Source organism: Homo sapiens, chromosome Y, assembly GCF_000001405.40.
Source record: "Homo sapiens chromosome Y, GRCh38.p14 Primary Assembly".
NCBI lineage: Eukaryota > Metazoa > Chordata > Mammalia > Primates > Hominidae > Homo > Homo sapiens.
The window spans coordinates 9343078-9360835 of record NC_000024.10 but is presented as its reverse complement, the minus strand read 5'-3'; the positions used below and the strand labels follow the sequence as shown (position 1 = coordinate 9360835).

General features: G+C 46.5%; 1 protein-coding gene and 1 long non-coding RNA gene across 5 annotated transcripts; one reads left to right on the top strand and one right to left on the bottom strand.

Annotated features, from left to right (window-relative positions):
- Positions 1–242: 242 nt before the first annotated feature.
- TSPY8 (testis specific protein Y-linked 8) lies at positions 243–3039 on the bottom strand. 4 transcript variants are annotated; one of them, XR_949064.3, is made up of 6 exons: positions 2508–3039; positions 1823–1900; positions 1583–1694; positions 1336–1474; positions 1148–1240; positions 243–453 (listed from the first exon to the last, which is right to left on the bottom strand). XR_949064.3 is itself a non-coding variant. In XM_005272744.5 (6 exons), exons 1-5 carry the CDS (start codon positions 2991–2993, stop codon positions 1178–1180), a joined length of 885 nt encoding a protein of 294 aa, XP_005272801.1. In that variant the 5' UTR covers positions 2994–3039; the 3' UTR covers positions 243–453; positions 1148–1177. The 4 variants fall into 4 exon arrangements, 3 of the variants coding, with proteins under 3 accessions (XP_005272801.1, NP_001230650.1, XP_011542307.1); XM_005272744.5 differs by having other exon boundaries at positions 1336–1481; NM_001243721.2 differs by having other exon boundaries at positions 1148–1229; positions 1336–1481.
- A 2614-nt stretch (positions 3040–5653) lies between these two features.
- FAM197Y8 (family with sequence similarity 197 Y-linked member 8) lies at positions 5654–11256 on the top strand. Its single transcript, NR_145468.1, has 4 exons — positions 5654–5755; positions 5842–5987; positions 7488–7646; positions 11197–11256. It is a non-coding gene; the product is annotated as a family with sequence similarity 197 Y-linked member 8 (long non-coding RNA).
- The last annotated feature ends 6502 nt before the right edge of the window (positions 11257–17758 follow it).

The following is a 17758-nucleotide window of genomic DNA, read 5'->3' as shown; positions in this document are numbered from 1 at the left end:
TTACCTCTCCCACTCTGTCCTGTAGGAAGAATCCCAACACATCCCACACCCATTCACTCTACAACTTTAGAGGCCCAGCTCCAACGCAGACTGGTTATTTCCATGAAGAGAATAAAGCACGTGGATTGATCAATTCATTATGACACCCGAATAAAGTGGATAAACATACACACACACACACACACACACACACACACAAACACAAAGACACACACACACACACACAGACACAGAGTCACACATCCTTGAGAATGTTTATTTTTCATTCCATACAATCCACATTTACCCCCTCTTCCTGAATTTTTGTGACTCGATCTCTTTTTCCTTTAGTTCCTGTGCATAAGACCATGCTGAGTACTGCCGTCCTGCATATGGCTGTAACTTTTTAGGAGTTCTGCTGTATTAGGTAAAATCTGATGCTCCATCATATTCAACTCAACAACTGGGAGTCCCCTAGAGAAACACAAACTCATGTTAAAACGCATTTTCTCTGAGCCATACTTTGAAATGTTTCAATTGTGGGGCCCGCTGAGAAAAGGATATCCCTTCCCCATTTGTGATCCCTTAAACTTCCTCCTACCACGTGTTACAAACTGTTCTGCGCAATCCCTGCCCCATTCCCAGTATTGTCTGTGAGGGGAGTCAGCTAACAAGATGCACTGGGCCCTAAAAGCACACACAAGTCTGATGGGGCAACAGCTTAAGGAAATCCATCAATCTAAACAGTCCTTTGTGGTTTGGGGCAAGGATGACCAGGACGCACATTCAGGGAGCCCAATCTCATGGGGTTGGCGGGATGACTGCCGGTGGGGTTGACAGCCGTGGAATCAAGTGCCACAGACTGAACTGAATGATTTTCAGCTTTACTTCTCATTGATTCTGGAAATGGACGATTCTTCACTGGGCTTAAGACTCCACAGCTATCACCCGCTTTGCAGTGCAGTCTCTAACGTGCCTTTTCAGCCCAATGCCATGAACGTCCTGGATTCTGTCACTCTCTGTCTTCCTCTCAAGGAATTTCTACATGTACGAAAGGAGCCTCAATTTCTACATTTCTGAAATGAGCACCCAGGCTCCCTGAATAGGCAGGTGTGTCAACCCCCTTATACTGGGCATCAAACAGCTCCAGTGCCAACTAACGGCTCACCTGACGTCTCTGTTCCCTCTTCAGGTGGCTTCATCCTCTTGTAGTATTGCAGGGGATTGCGCCACAGGTCCTTACATAGGATCTGTCAGGGGACTCAATCGGGAAAGGCCTCATCAGGGCTCAGAAAGGTGACCCAAGCAGCTGGGAACACACGGGGTCATTCCTCATGTTTCCCAGTGAGGACTCACCTCAGCAATCTTGTTAGATCCTGCGAAGTTGTGGTCAGAGAACCAGTTGAAGAAGTTAAGGCTGCTGTTGTGGTGTCTGCGGCGATAGGCCTCCACTTCATAATCCAGATACCACTCAATTGGAGTGGAATGAGAAGCCCTGTATTCTACAGAGACAGGAGTTTTTGTGGGAAGGGGGCTGGATCCCGTTGGCAATGATCCACCCACCATCTTCCTTCCACTACCCATCCTGGGAGCCACCTGTCACCTGTGATGTTCACCAGATATTCCTTGGTAATCACTTTATTCTGGAAGTAGGGGTTACTCCGAAAGAACAACATGATCTTGCAGAGATGAACAGGATGCTTCTCTTCTTCCACCTGTCAGGACAAGGTGGAGAAAGCTTAGATAGGTTTTCGGGTGAGGTGCTCACTCTTGCTTACAGGAATGAATTATTTCCCTTACCCTCCCCCGCTAAACCCTCCAGCCCCAGTCTTCCTGGCCTCACCTCCAGGCTGACCATGTAGCTCAGCATGTCTTCATCTTCGTCAGTGATCAGGGCTGACATCTGGGGGTGGTTTGCAATCTGATTTAGGTCAAAGAGACTTTACACACGATGGAAGGGAAAGCGAGGAGCAACAGGGAAGAAGGCCTAAGAGCACCCAGAGGCTGGGGTAGGGGATTTCTCAGATCTGCTTCCATGTATGATCTCCTTTCGCCTCCCCGTCCCCGTAAACTAAGGCCTCCTGTGTTCACAGAGGGTGTATGATTCTGAGGCTGACTGCACTGACATGGGGAGGCGCGATTTGCAGAGACTTGCTGGTGTCTGAGGAGTGGCAGAATCTGCTTATAGCCGAAGACGCCCAGTCCCAGATCGGACTAGCAAGGGGCAGCAATCACACTCCCTTAAAAATAGCTTCATTCACTGAAAAACCTCTTCCGCTCTGAACTCGCTTCTGCTCTTCAAAAAGATGCCCCAAACGTCTGCTGCTCGGCATCACCAAGGGTTTCTCTGCCGCATGCAGGACAATAGTACCCACGCCTGCTCCGGCTTTCCACAGCCACATTGGTCCGTGGCAACTCCCCTTTGTTCCCCAAAGAGTCACATCGACGCCGAGCTGCCCATCGGTCACTTACACTTCCCCGAGAGCACCTCTCCACTAGAAAGGCCGAAGAAACACTGAGAAGGATACAACATTGGCCCAGAAGCCAGGGACGCTCTGGATGACGGCGCCTCTGCGGTCTAGGTGGGGCTTGCGCCTCCGCTCCATCTTTTCCCGCTGCCGAGAAAAGGCCTTCCTGGCTTGGGCATTAACCGGCTCCAGCTCCACCTGAACGGCCAGCAGCTCCTCCAGTGCAGACTCTGGGGTCATGGGCCCAGGGCCAGGCACAGCCTGCTGTGCCCGCTGGGCCTCCTCCCGCCGCTCCACGAGGCCCTCCTCCTCCGCCACCACCTCCACCTCCGCCATTATGTCATCCAACAGCAGCACCGCCTCCTCCCCCAAAGCCGCCTGCTCACTCTCCACCCCGGCCGCCCCCTCCTGTACAGCCTCCATCCTGAAGGCGGTGCCCTCCTTGGCACTCGCACACACCAAGGCCTGTGCTGCCCGACCCACGCCACAGAAACCCTGCCGCAGCCTCTCTGGCACCCAGTAGGTCAGCGAGCCCTCAGGGCGCATGCGCCGGGCTTCCAGGCGCCCCCTAAGGGACTGCGCGCGAAGGGCCGGGGGGCCGCACCCAGGCCGACTTCCTCCCGTCGTGGCCAGTCAATGGGAGGGCGGTGGGCGTCTCCCTGGGCGGCACAGCCACTGGCGGGCCTGCATCTCCAGCCCCCCCACCCCCCGCCTTCCCTGCCCAAGCCTCCTCCGAGAAGCCCTTGGAGCTTGTGCCGGGTAGCTAGGCATCCGGGCACACGCGGGCTGCGTGGCCTTTGGAATTGTGGGCATGGCAGCCCTGTGCCCTGACATCCTCAGTGTGGCAAGCCATGAACATCTCTATGTGTCATGAACACAGGAAACATCTCTCTTCGTTAGGCAGGCCAGGTAGATGGTACGGAGGTAATACAGCAGATGCAGAGAACTCTCTCTGGTTGCTGGGGCTAGGGCGGCAGGGGTGTCCTGGGGGAAGTGATCGGGGCGGGCACGTGGGAGGAAAGTCGCCTGCCGGTGCTGAGGTGGAATTGATCTGCTGTAGAGGCCAGAGCCCCGGCACACACTCTCACAGGTCGAGGCAAATAGAGGCTCCGAGTACCATGCTTCCTCCCTGAGGATGCTGTACTCCAAGGAGCATTCCAAAGGGCCTCTTGTCCTATGCCCTGGGCACACCAGAGGCCAGCCGCCAGGGTTGGCCATTGTCGGCCTGCGCGCACGCTGTTGTGCGCTGCCTTGACGACCCAGAGGCTCCCGCACCCGCAGCAGCGGTTGCGGTGCCTGTTGGTGGGGCTCTGCAAGCCCAGGGCCGGGGCCTCTGGCTCCCGAGCTCCTGTGCGCAGTTGAGCCTGCTGGGGACCGGAGCCCTTTGGCCAGTGCGGGATCTGCGGGTCCAGCGGAGCTCCTCAGGAAACCTGGGTCCACGTAGGTGTGGGACCAGTTTCTCAGCAGGGCGACGCCCGTGGGTCTTGCAGGGAGCGGGTCTGCTGGGGAGCGGGCCCCCAGAGCCTACGGGTGCGGGGCATGGGCTGGGCTGGGCTGGGCTGCGCAGGCCCAGGGTCTGTGGGAGCACCCAGGAGAAAACCGTGTTCAGGCTGGAGGCAATGCTGGAGAGGACGGCCGGGGTACAGAGCAAGGAGGCGGCCTTGGAAGAGGAGGCGGTGCTGAAGGTGGAAGACATCATGGCTGAGGTGGAGGTGGTGGTTGAGGTGGAGCCCGACGTGGGGTGGCAGAAGGAGGGCCAGCGGGCACAGCCTGGCCCTGGACCGAGCACACCGGGGCCGTCAATGGACTCGCTGGAGGTCCTTCACTTGGAGCTGGGCTCCGTGAATGCCCCAGGCCACAGAGCATCTCCGCCTTGTGAGCCAGAGCCATATCCTTGCGGCTGCCGATTTGGGATGGCGGGCAGCAGGGGATAGTCATCGGGCCTCGGGGGGTATGGGGGCTGTTTGCGGGGAGGAGCCAGGTGGGAGGCACGTGGGGTCAGCCAGGAGGCAGGGGATGGGGGACAGCGTGGGAGCCGAGGCCACGTTCCCGCAGCTGTGAGGGCAGCTCGCTTGTAGCAGCCCTGGGAGCACGTGGTAGGGAAGGGGAGCCAGGGCCAGCACTGACAAGGGAGAATCGCGGCGCCAAGGTCCCTTTGCGCACAGCCCAAATTCGAAGGACGCGTTTCCCTGGGAACGTCCCTGGAGGACGGGGAATCTGTATGCCATTACCAGCCATTGAACCACCCCTGCTCTCGGTGCCTGTTTCCAGCAGGCTCACCCCAGAAACACAAGGTGCTTAAGACGGGTTCGCGGCGCATGGGGCTGCCGACCACCTGACGGCGGGCACCAGCTCCGCAGATGCGCATTCATCCAACTGCAGGCGCTGCACTCAAAGGCGTGTAGGCCCTGAGCCTGTATAACTTCCTCTGGACCCACGCAATTCCCTTGGAGAGCGCCAGGCACGACCCTGCTGTGGCTTCTAACTACAAGGCTTCCCTCAGGTGGACAGGCCCACCCCTCAGGGAGACTAGGATAAGAGGACACCACACACCCGGACATCAGCGGAGCATGTCCAGCACCCAGCACACAAAGGCCTCCTGCATCTCAGAAACCCAGAGAAGCAGCCGCCTCACACCACCCCCGGCCCCTCCCGTCCCTCAGCTGCAACCACCTGCCCACTTTTTCTGCCTCCCGTCTCTGGTCAGCCCAGGCCGTCTTGGCCGGGGTCCACCCACTCCAAAAACCACCACAGTTGTGGCGTTGCCTCCTCGCCAGACAGAGATAGAGGGCCAACAATGAAGGGTGACTGGCCAAATGTCTGGGAGATGGCCCTGTTCCACATTGTCTGTGTTCTTGCGAAATTGCAAGGCGTCACGAGGCTTGCCCACCCAATCCTCTGGAGAGTTCTTGCGCAGAGGTAGATTGTTTGGCACACCCGAGATGTCGGCGTGGGTCGGAAAGCATGCGGAAGTCCTGCTTTGCTACGTGATGGATTTGCAGGTCAGGCTGGGGAGCCTGGGTCTGTGGGAGGAGTCCAGTGTCTGAGTCAGTTTGAGGTCCCCCTGGGGACCAGGGTTGTCTCAGTGGGAGAGCTGGGAAGGGGAAACTCATGGTTCACTACAGCTAGTAGGCCACCTCAGCCCAGCTAGTTGAGATGGTCCCATTGAATCCATCCTCTTTCTCCTTGATCCGGCAGGTGGAGGAACTCAGCCATCCCGGTTACCGGTGGCAGGATGATTTCCTTTCATCCCAACCTTTATTTCCACAGTGAAATCATCATGAAGGAGCACTGTGTTGGCATCCTCGGTAAGGAATGCCTCCCAGCATGGTAGGGGAGCTGGTGTGTGGGAGGGTGGGACTGGCATGAACCTTCCTGACTCCTCTCCCTGCAGGCTACAGGGTGTCTCATTCCACTGCAGTCCAGCGGTTCTGGGATCACGAAGGTCAAGCCTCCAGCTGCAGGCAGTACACCTCCTACCTGAGCTCATTCAGCTGTTTGGCTGAACATGACTGCCCGGGTTTTGGCAGGATTGCTGAGGTGGGGTTCGCCGTGGGGCATCATGGGAAAGGACCTAGCTGGTCATTCCTTGGTCTCTGGGGAATTGGCTTTGAACTGTCACCTGAACTGTCCTGGACCCACTTCTGCAGTCCCCTAGATCATCAGCCAGGGCCTATGGCTCAATCCATTGCAGTTCTATCCCATGGAGAGAGGGTCAGCCCTAGAGGCGGAACAGAGAGGAGGCCAGGCGAGCAGCCTAGGGCTGGGAAGGGCTGGGAACTGAGAGGCCTTTTGACCTGGATCTGGGCCCCACATGGAGAACCCAAGGATCCGGGAGGAGACTGCAGTGAGCAATCCCAGGCAATCCGTGGGTTGGGGGAGAGAGGCCCATCAGGGACATGTAACACCCACATTTCAGGATCGGGGCACCTTAAGCCACTATGATGCATATGTGGCTAAAGTCAGTGGGTGACAAGCAGGGCTTAAGGGATAGCTGTCTCATCATTACTCGCCAGCTCCCTGCCCTGCGGTAAGACCTGCTACCACCTGGGGCTCATTTTGAGATCAACCAGGGCCCCCTTTTTCTCCATGAGGATGTCCACCTGAGGCCCACCTAGGTCTGTGTCCTTTCACAGTGTTTCTCCCAGGCCAGTCATGTTTTGTTTCCATGACCCCGGCTGCCTTGACATGTGTAATCCTCTCTGCCATCCTCACTCCCGCTGCCCTGCCTTCCCATATAAGTTAGTCCACCTCACACGGAATCTGGAGGACCACACTGGGCTCCAGTGTGAGGCAATGTTTTATTTTCTTCAGGTACATGTATTTTAGGGCTACCTCCAGGGCTGGGAATGTGAAGAGATTGCCAAATGGCTGGGGACCTTCAGTGTGTGTCCAGGGAGGGAACCCGGCTGGGAATTAAGGCCCACCTGAGTAATGGTATGGACATCCAGTGTCAGTTATCTTGATAAAGGCCTGCTTTCTTACATCACCTACTATTAATATAAAAGTTAATTCCTTAGAATATTGAAAAAACAAATCTATGTATGAAGAAATATAATTTGTTCATAATTGTATGGAAAAAGCTGCCGACCGATCCATTTTCCATTACAATTCTTATGGGAGACTTGAAGGGTTTAGCAAGTTTTAAGATGCATTTCTATTCGTCTACTCCTGCCAGTTTTTATGATCATTTTTGTAATACAAGGACATGGCCTCTGGAAAGTTTTTGAGGGACTTTCAGCTTCTTTTAGGGTAGATACTTGTAAATTTTGAATTGTTTTCCCCTGCGGTTCTTTTGAGGTTACTCTTTGTACTTTCTTTGGGGGGTGTTAAATTTGTTTTCTTGTTTTGCCCTTGTGGAACTTTCGTTTTCAAGGAATTGTGTGTGTGTGTGTGTGTGTGTGTGTGTGTGTGTGTGTGTTAGATATGGGAGTTAGCCTGTGAGCATGTTTTCGAATATGGATTTTTTTTTTACTTATCAATTTTGGGGGTGTGTGTGTGTGTGTGTGTGTGTGTGTGTGTGTGTTTGTTTCTTTTCAGTTGGAGTCTCACTGTGTCATCCAGGCTGCAGTCAAGTGGCAAACTCTCAGATCACTGCAACCTCTCCCTCCAGCTTCAAAGGATTCCTCTGCCTGCTGATGCTGCTTTTCCCCCACATGAGGAGAACATGCAGACAGTTATAAAAAATTCTGTGCCTGGGTAGGTATGAAAATATAATTTCAATGAATGGTAAATTTCACAAATACAGTTTCACATTTGTATTTTGCAACATTTTGAAAATTTTAGTTGCTGACACATGAAATTCTGTGTTGACTTTCATGTTAAATGTACACTTTTGAATCAATTTCAACAGTGACAACTAGCGAAGGCCAAGCGTTAGTTCAGGAAGCTGAAAGCAGTCGTTCTGTAAAAAAAACCATATTTATTGAAGGTATATTTAGAGAGATTTTAGAAGGCTTCAGTCAATATTTTTGTTTCTGTTGCTCTGGTGTTTTATCATACAGGGACCAGACTGTAGCATCAGTAGCTATAGTTACAAGGCTACCAAAGACTCAGTGCTATAGAAATTATTATTGTGGAAATTGGCAGCCTGGCTGTCTGTTTGAGGAGACTAGAGGACTTAGGAGTTTCCACCCAAAGTACAAGGGCCTGGTTTAGTGGGTGGCCTTCTTTTGCTGAAGTAGATAAGATCCAGGAGAAGGGTGGATTCACTGTAGTAGCCAGGGCTTTGAGACTGGTAAAGCTTATTTGTCCCCTAGTGCCATTGCCAGATATTGGTCTGTGCATAAAGGCACTTCCTGGACTCGCTGACTCCTGTAAATTCAAATGTAGAATTTAGATTTAAATCCCTATTCCAACTTCTTAAACTTAGATCTAATAGGTGGGTAATAAAATATGTATTCAGAAGAAAGGGAGACGTCAGGTAGGTATATAAGCAAATCATCCTGGTCAAATACCTTCAAAAATATTACTACAAAAAATTACTGAAGATTAAACCTTAAAAAAGTTATTTTAATTGGAGAAACAGAAAAAGGTTGGAGTCATTTTAAACCCTGAGGTGTAAAGGTACTGTTATTAGATTACAGGAATTATATACAATGAATAATTTGTGGGAAGAGCAGCATACTATCTCTTTAGTATGGCTAGAGATTCATAAGCCGTGTAAGAAAACTCAGAGATTGAGAAGAAAATGTTCTCAGGGATTTTGTTCTGTTATGAAAGACTTTTAAAATGGTTTCCTACTGATCAATGATTCACTTATATTTATCACTGAGGCATATGCTATATACCCTTCTATATAGGGATGAAGTTATAGTTTCTATCATGTAGATACAAAAACATGTGACTCTGTACCACATTTGCATTAGAGCCTTTGGCATGATTAATGAAGCAAACGGTGGAACTGTCTACGTCAGGTTACAGGTGGGCACAGCTGGAAGCTTCCGTCCCTTGCACTTTAACATTTCTGCATTCTCATCTGTCTCTCCTGGAAAGAAAACGGACTATAACTATCCTAAAGGACATATGTTACATGAAGACACTAAGTATTGAGATAAGACCATGAGTTGTCTTATCAGTGTCTTGGCATTACATTTATATGTATAACTTATACAAAAAATCCAGTTTATTTTATCACGATTACATATTACATCCCACATTTATGTATTTTATTATCTTTCCAGTGACTGTTTTGTTTTGTTTTGTTTTGTTTTGTTTTGAAATCTCGTTCCACTCTGTCACTCAGTCTGGAATGCAGTGGCCTGATCTCAGCTCACTGCAACCTCCATCTCTTGGGTTCAAGGATTTTAAAAATTAGTAAAGAATTTTCAATTGAGTTAGCAGAAGTAAAAATAAACTTAAGTGGAAATAGAACAACAAAATTGTAAACACTATTTCTCAGCAATTCATAGATTATCATACTAGGAATTGAAATGTACTTAGAACTCAATGATACCGCCAATATTAAAGATTAAATCTGTGAGTAGCAAGAAAAGTGATATTACAATAGGAGTTTACAGACAAATATTTCTCTAATAACTTGAAAATTAATGTACTAGATATTTCAATAAAGAATTAGAAAAGAAACAACAGAATCAATTCTGAAAAACTAAAGTGTGGGAATAATGATGTAGACAAAATTAGTAAAACATACAAAGCTAACCTTTGCTTGTTGGAGAAATATAATAAATGATGCAACCGTCAGTCAAGTTTAGAAAAAAAGGGAGAAAACATAGATAAAACTAAGAATTTAAAAGGTACACAACCATAGATACAGCATAGATTAAGAAGCTAATAAGGAAATATCGTTAACACCTTAACCTACAAATTTGAAAACTTAGATCAAATAGACAGATATTTATAATCTGTCTATATATATAGACATATATATCGCTTTCTATATATATTTTCATATTTATACATAATTTTTATATTTGTATCTTACATTTATATATATAATATATAAACATAAGCTATGTATATAGCTTAGTAAAATTGATACAAGAAGACATATATAATCTGTATAGTCTCATAAATGTTCAAGGAAATAAAGGATTCTTCCTAGAGATAAAACGCTAGGCTCAGATTTTTTTCCCCAGGCAGAGCATTTCAATATATATGAAGAATTCTATAGAATAAAAAAGGGAAAATCCTAAACTCATTGTGTGAAGCAAGCAGAACTTTGACGCCAACAAGCCATAAACTGAGTGTAGAAAAAGATATGAAAATTAAGGCCATTCTCATTCCTGAAGCAAATCGTAAAATCCCAAATGTAACAAGATTTATGTGGATTCTTTGAGGGTTAGAAGGAAATTTCCTTCTGCCAGATCCTGCTACTCTGGGACAACCCACACACAAATTTATGTTTTGAGATTTTCTGTAATACCCATGCAATATGGAACTGGCTTGACAATCTGTGTGATAGCCAGCCTGTGGCCATGACTTCTCAGGGACACAAATCTTTTCTGTTTGCCTCCTTGTTCTGCTCAGCTCCAAGAGAACTTTGACCAAAGTTCCTTGAGCTTGGAAATAGGAATGGGTTTGCTTCTGTTTCACCCTTACTGTGAAGATACAGTCCGGTGGAATCCAGATCCACTGGGAGAGAGTCGGCTATTAAACTCTTTTCATGAGTAGTCCCTAGGCCTTGACTGGAGTCTTTCTTGAGATATGAGGCTAATAGTTCCTTCTTGGTCCACCACTTTTTGATATAATTAATGCTTCTTCTATTGGGAATTTTTAATTGTTTGGGAAGTGACATGGTTTGGTGTGTCTCCATTCAAATCTCAGCTTCAATTGTATCTCCCAGAATTCCCTCGTGTTGCGGGTGGGACCCAGGGGGAGGTAATTGAATCATGGGGGTCGGTCTTTCTCATGCTATTCTTGTGACAGTGAAGAAGTCTCACGGGATCTGATGGGTTTTTCAGGGGTTTCTGCCTCAGGTTCTTCCTCATTCTCTCTTGGCATTGCCATGTAAGAAGTGCCTTTATTCGTATACCATGATTCTGAGGCCTCCACAGCCATGTGGAACTGTCAGTCCAATTAAACCTCCTTTTATTCCCAGTTTCAGGTATCTCTTCTTCAGCAGCGTGAAAATGAACTAAGACAGGAGGTTTGGTCCAAATAACCTTGGCTTCCATGACAGAAGATAGAAGTTGCTGAAATGTTTAATCTTTTCTGTGGCAACCTTTTGCAGTGGGTCTTATTTTTCTCATTTTTTTTTTCTTGTTCTCTTCACCTTTGTTTCTCACAGGGTACTCTCGCTCTGTAGACCAGGCTGGAGCGCAGTGGCAGGATCTCAGCTCAACACATCCTCCGCCTCCCAGGTTCAGCCTCTGCAGTAGCTGGGATTACAAGCATGCATCACCACGCTCAGCTAATGTTTTGTATTTTTAGTAGAAGCCAGGCTTCACCATGTTGGCCAGGCTGCTCTCCTACTACAGATCTCAGGTGACCCGCCCGACTCAGCTTCCCAAAATCCAAAGTGCTGGGAATACAGGTGTGAGCCACCGAGCCCAGCCAACTCCAGTACTTTTTACCTAAGCCAGTGGACGAGTGGAGTTGCCTTTATTTTTTTTTTTTTCTTTTTTCAGTCATGGTCTCGCTGTGTCATCCAGGCTGGAGTGCAGTAGTCTGATCTTGGCTTACTATACAATCTCTGCCACCCATGTTCAGGTGGTTCTCCTGCCTCAGCCTCCCAAGTAGCTGGGACCACAGGAAAGTGCCACTAGGTCTGGCTAATTTTTGTATTTTTGGTAGAGACAGCTTTTTGCCATGTTGCCCATGCTGGTCTCCAACTCCTGACCTCAAGTGACCCACCAACCTCGGCCTCCCAAAATGTAGAAATTACAACAAGAGCCACGAAGCCTGGCCTGGAGTTGTGGCTTTTTGACATAAGAAATCTGTGGAGGGAAAAGCTTGGTTTGTGGGAGCACCCGAGCTCAGTTTGGCTCAAAGGTTTGGGATACCTATTATTGAGTGGCAGTGATGGTATGTTGTTAATGTACAATATGTTCCTGTATATAGCATACGTCTATGCTCATCAGATATTTTCAGGTAAAAAAAAGATAGTCTTTCCAGTAGTTTGAGCCATTATAGCAATTTCCACCAGGGGATTTCAAAGTCCAATTCCAGTTGTGGGCAACAGTGATTAACATAATGGTAATTAATGAGAAGAGATTTTGAGACGTCCAGCCACGTTTCCATGTCAGTGCCTTGTTTGCAGTATTATGAAGAAAGCGTGCATTGGACTAGATACTAAGAAAAACATTGAATTATTTTTCTTGCCTCTATAACATCAAAGGACAATTAGAGATATAGAAACTATGGAACATTTCACAGCATGGCTTGACATTTCACTGAACGTTTATCCTTTTAACCATGTACAAAGTTTGTTACCTATGCAAAGGTAGGACTGCAAAAGGAAGACAGAGGTGGAGTCAGAGGTCACAATCCACAGCAAGGTGACACTCTTGTTGATCGCACCTTGAAAGCCAAATTAGAGCGAGAATTAACTTTCCGGTTGCCGTAAGAGAACAAGGAGAATGAAGCTACCAGCAGTTAACAGTATTGGATTAATTGAAATGAAGGTGGACAGAGTTTTTTGGCTTTCCATCAAATTGAGTAAAGAAAAGGTAACCGCTTATCTAATTTCACACACATACAATTATGGATTAATTAAAAGATTACACAACCCATATATTATGGGTTTCTCATATAAGTGTATATATACATGGGCAAACTCACAGTGTGCCAGTATGTGTCTATATCCAAATATATACAAATCCATGTCCAACAGTTAGCAAGTGAGAAATTCTCTTCCATTTCACCATTCCCTTTCCTAGAATTTTTTCATAAATATAATTTTTCCATATATTTGAAGCCTACTCTCTGGAGGCATGTAATGCATGCATGCAGTAAACCTGTGCGATATCACAATGTTGGTGTCAGAGAAAACTATAACACCGATGTTATAAAAGATTAATTGTGAGGAGAAAGTTATGCTTCGCATTACTACAAATACACAAGTATGATTTCATCCAAAGCTGAAATCAGTCAATATAATTTGTTTTTAATGTTTTATTTAAAATCCTTAATTTCAACAGGATTACTCAAGAAAAATAACGTTATTGGTATTAAATAATGTTGACGTATTCCCTTTAATTGTTGATTATTTAAAATGTCAGTAAAATAGTAAATGGCACTGTACAATGTAGTTTCATGAAGCATTCTTTATAGTTTTCATAAAATTGATAGTCTCCATGGAATATTTTAAGACTGAGGAAGTTCCATATATCATTTGATTGTACTTTCACTTTATTACTTGCTTGCATGTCATAACTGATGGAAATAAAACTATGTATATTTACAAATATGAAAAACATGGATTTTTGTTTACGTTTTCTAGTGAGACACAGTTACCAATAATTTTATCTATATAGGAAAATTTTTACAAACCCAAAGTTCTAATGTTTCTTTTCTTTGAAGTTTCGTATTTCAGTCTAGGTATGTAATGGAATTGGCTGTGATCATTCTTTGATTTCACTGTTATTTGTGAGTTTCTGATATGCTTTTAGGAATGAATAGAGTTTAACGCTTGCTTTCTTCTTCTTCCTCTACCTTTGGACCTGTATATGCGATGTCTGCAGTAATGTGCAGTGCTATCTGACATACGGTTGCTGAAAGATACAAGCATATATAGAATTCTTCGTTTCAGTGAATCTTTAGGAACAGACAAGTAACCTGAGAGATAATTACGGTATGAATGTAAGCAAGCAGTTTATCATAGAGGTACAATAAGGGTGAAAATAAATTTAAAAATACATGCCTCATCCAAAACATGAGGTAGTAAAAATGAAAAAATTTAAGTTGGCATAAAGAACACTTTAAAAGTTCTGATTCTTTCTGGTGAGAGCAAGGAGCTCAGAAACCATGAGAAAGTCCTTCAAAGCTGCATGTTGGATTTGCAGGTCAGGATGGAAAGCCTGGGTCTGGGGGAGGGCGCTAAGGTCCTGGTCAGGTTGAGGTCCTTCTGGGGCTCAGGTGTGTCTCAGCGGGAAAGCTGGGAAGGGGAAACGCATGCTTCACCCCGGCTAGAATGCCACCTCAGCCCACCTAGATGAAATTGCCCCTTCACAGCCCTGTTTCTCCTTCTTGGACAGGCAGGTGGAGGAACTCGGCCACCCTGAATACAAGGGGTAGGAAGAAGTTTGCCTTTCATCACAACATTTACTTCGGAAACAAAGTGATGACTAAGGAGTATTGCATTGGCATCCTCCCTGAGGAGTAGAGGGGGTAGTACCTCGGGAGCTGGGCCTGGCGTGCGCCTTCCTGACTCGTCTCCCTCCAGGATACAGGGTGACTGGCTCCACTGCAGTCCAGTGGTTCTAGGGTCATGCAGGTGAAAGCCCGAGTTTCCCGCAGGTCACTGCCTGAGCTTCTTCAGCTGGTTGTCTGACTGTGAGGGCCCAGGTTACGGCACGATTGCTGAGGTGGGGCAGCTATGGGGCATCATGGCAAAGGACCTTCTTCGACATTCCTTGGCATCGGAGGAATTGGCTTTGAACCAGAACCTGACCTGTCACGACCAATTTGCCCAGTCCACCAGATCATCAGCCAGGGCCTGTGGCTCTATATTCTGCAGCACTACCCAAGGGAGTTAGGCCCTCAGAGAGGGAACAGAGAAGAGGCCAGGGAAGCAGCCCAGGGCTGGGGGTTGACAGGCCTGTGGGTCCTGGAGTTAGGACACACATAGAGAAGCCAAGGCTCAGGGAGGAGACTGCAGTAAGGAAACTCAGGCCATCATGGGCTGGTGGAGAAATGCCCATTAGGGAACGGTGGTACCCACATTTCACGATGGGGGAACCGTAATCTGCTTAATAGGCATAAGTAGCTAAGGTCAATGGGTGGGAAGCCAGGGTCAAGAGATAGCTGCCTCATCATCCCTTGCTAGCTACTTCCCTGTCCTGAGGCTTGCTTCTACCTGGGGTTCAGTTTGGGCTCAACCAGGGATCTCTCACCCTCCACACAGATGCCCACCTGAGGCCTCTCTAGGTCTGCGTCCTCCCAGAATGACTCTCCCAGGCCTGCTAAGTACCGTTTGGATGACACCACGCTCCACTGACATGCTTGGTTCCCTCCGCCATCCTCATTCACCCAGCAACTCCCCACCCCAAAAAAGGCAGGCCACCGCACAGGGAATCTGGAGGACCACACAGGGCTCACAGGGGAGGAAATGTGAAGAGATGGCAAAACAGAACAGGACATTCCGTGTGTTTCCAGAAGGCAATCTGGCTGGATATTAAGGCCCACCTCAGTATTGGTGAGGACACCCAGTGTCTCTTGGCCCTGAGCTTGTGCACACAAACACGCACATTGTCTAAACGGCATTGACATCACTACTACCTGAGTCATCCTCAGATTCTATACAACCCCTGTAAAAATATCAATGACACATTCTTCTTAGAAAAACAATCTGGGAATCCCAAATTTGCTATGAAATGGCAGAAGATCCTGAAAACCCAGAGCAATCCAGTAAAAAGCACAAAGCTGGAGCCACCACACTACCTAACTTCATGATATACTACTACAAAACTTTTTGTACCAAAATACAATAGCACTGGCAGAAAAGCAGAGACTAGAGCTTAGGAAAAACAACAGGAGCCCAGAACTAAGTCACTGCATTTGCAGCTCACAGCCTTTTCCCAAAGAAGCAAGAACGCCCAATGCAAAATCAAGTATCTTCTATAAACTAGGTTGGGGAAATCTGAATAGCCACACAAAGGATTTTACAAGTGGATTATTTATCACCAAACTCCAGTGTCAGATGTGAAACGATAAAAATAGCAGAAGAGATCACAAGGAAGAAGCTCCATGGCGTCCGTGTGTGCAATGATGGTCTCAAAGTGACTGCAAGAACACAGTAAACACCATCAAAAATAGAGAATGGAATCATATCAAACTAAAGTGCTTCACCACACCATAGAAAACTCAACATACAGAAGGGGCATCCTACAGGATGGGAGCAATGATTGGATCACCATACATCTGTTCATGGGGGAATAGTCACAGTACATAAGGAACTCCCAACAACTCAATAGCATGAAAACAAATGGGCGAAGGCTGCGAAGACTCATTTGTGAAACTGAGACATACAGTTGCCCAGAAGACACACTAAAAATTCCTCATTATCCCCAATCCATCACGAAAATGCAAATCAAAAACACAATGAGATTTCTTCTCACTTCAGTCAGAATGCATATTATCCGAAAGACAAACAAACAAAAAAAAAAAAAGAAAGAAAAGAAAACCCTAATCTCTGGTGAGGAGGCAGAGAAAACGAATTCCCTGCTCACTTTTGGGGAGAATGTAAATTAGTGCTGGCATTAAAGAAGCTTTATGGCTCTTATTTAAGTATAAACAGCCTTCAGAAATCTACAAGTAGAACCACCCACTATATGATCCAGCAAATCAGAATACCCGGGCACGCCCGCCAGTACACAGATCAGTATGTTGAAGCGGTGCGCGCACCCATGCAATTATTGCTGCACTCATTACATTTTTGCTGTAGCCAAAATGCGGAAGCAACCTGAGTGTCCCTCCATTGATAAGTGGATTAAAAAATGGGGCAAAAACGCATATGCGCAACGGAAATATGCGCTGCAATAAGAAATCAGGAAATCCTGCCAGTTGTGAGAATGTGTGGGAATCTGCTGAATGTGTGCATGCCATTCTGTTAAGTGACATAAGCCAGGTATCAGAAAGGAAAATAGCACATGATCTCATTCTTATATGAAATCAAAAAAGCGGACTTCACAGAAGTAGTGACTCCAATGACTGCGGTGAAGAGGGTGCACTGACGAGATGCTGGATGAAGAACTCATACTTCTAGTTATAAAGGAGGAATAGGTTAAAATATTTTCTTCAGCATGCTCACTATAACTAGTGGTAACATATTCTTTCTCTAAAAATATTCGAATACAGTGCAGGTCAAGTTTTTTCACAACAAAAATGACAACTATGTGAGGTCACACATATGTTGATTGGCTGGATGTATCCAATGCATAATGTATATGACCTGTTGAACATCACGCCTTAAGTTGTAAATATGTATCATTTCATATGACATTTTTTAAACAAACATACAATTTTTAAAATGCCTTAACAAAATAAATGCAAATAAAATATTTTATTATAAAGCAGTGCTTTTCTTTTCTAGCAAAGTCTTTTTCATGACACAGGAAAGAATGCAAGCCGTTTCGTAACTTGAGAAATAAATACATATGTGTACATGTATATATATACGTATATACATGTATATACGTATATAAATGTGCATATATACGTATATACATGTATATACGTATATATGTGTGTACATAGGTATTCTTATATAGGTATGTATATATATATATATATATATATATATATGAAAATCCCAATGAATGCTGATGATGAGTTGAAAGATAGAAATTCCAGGCACAGAGGCTATAGTCCATGAATTGAAACCTTCAGTGCATGTTTCAAAACAAGACGTGAGGAGGAGGAAGAAAAAAGCAAAAAACACAAAGCCATGGCAGGGCCATGGGTCACACCTGTCATCCCAGCACTTTGATAAGCTGAGGTGGGAGGATTGCCTGCACTCAGGAGTTCCAGATGAGCCTGGGGCAACATGGACCCACATTCAAAAAGTAAGTATTTAGTTAATTAATACATAGCTTGGAGGGGTGGCATGCACCTGTACTGCCAGGTGTGTGAGAGTCTGAGTTGACAGGATCACATGGGTGTGTGGTGCCTGGGCTGCAGTGGGCTGAGAT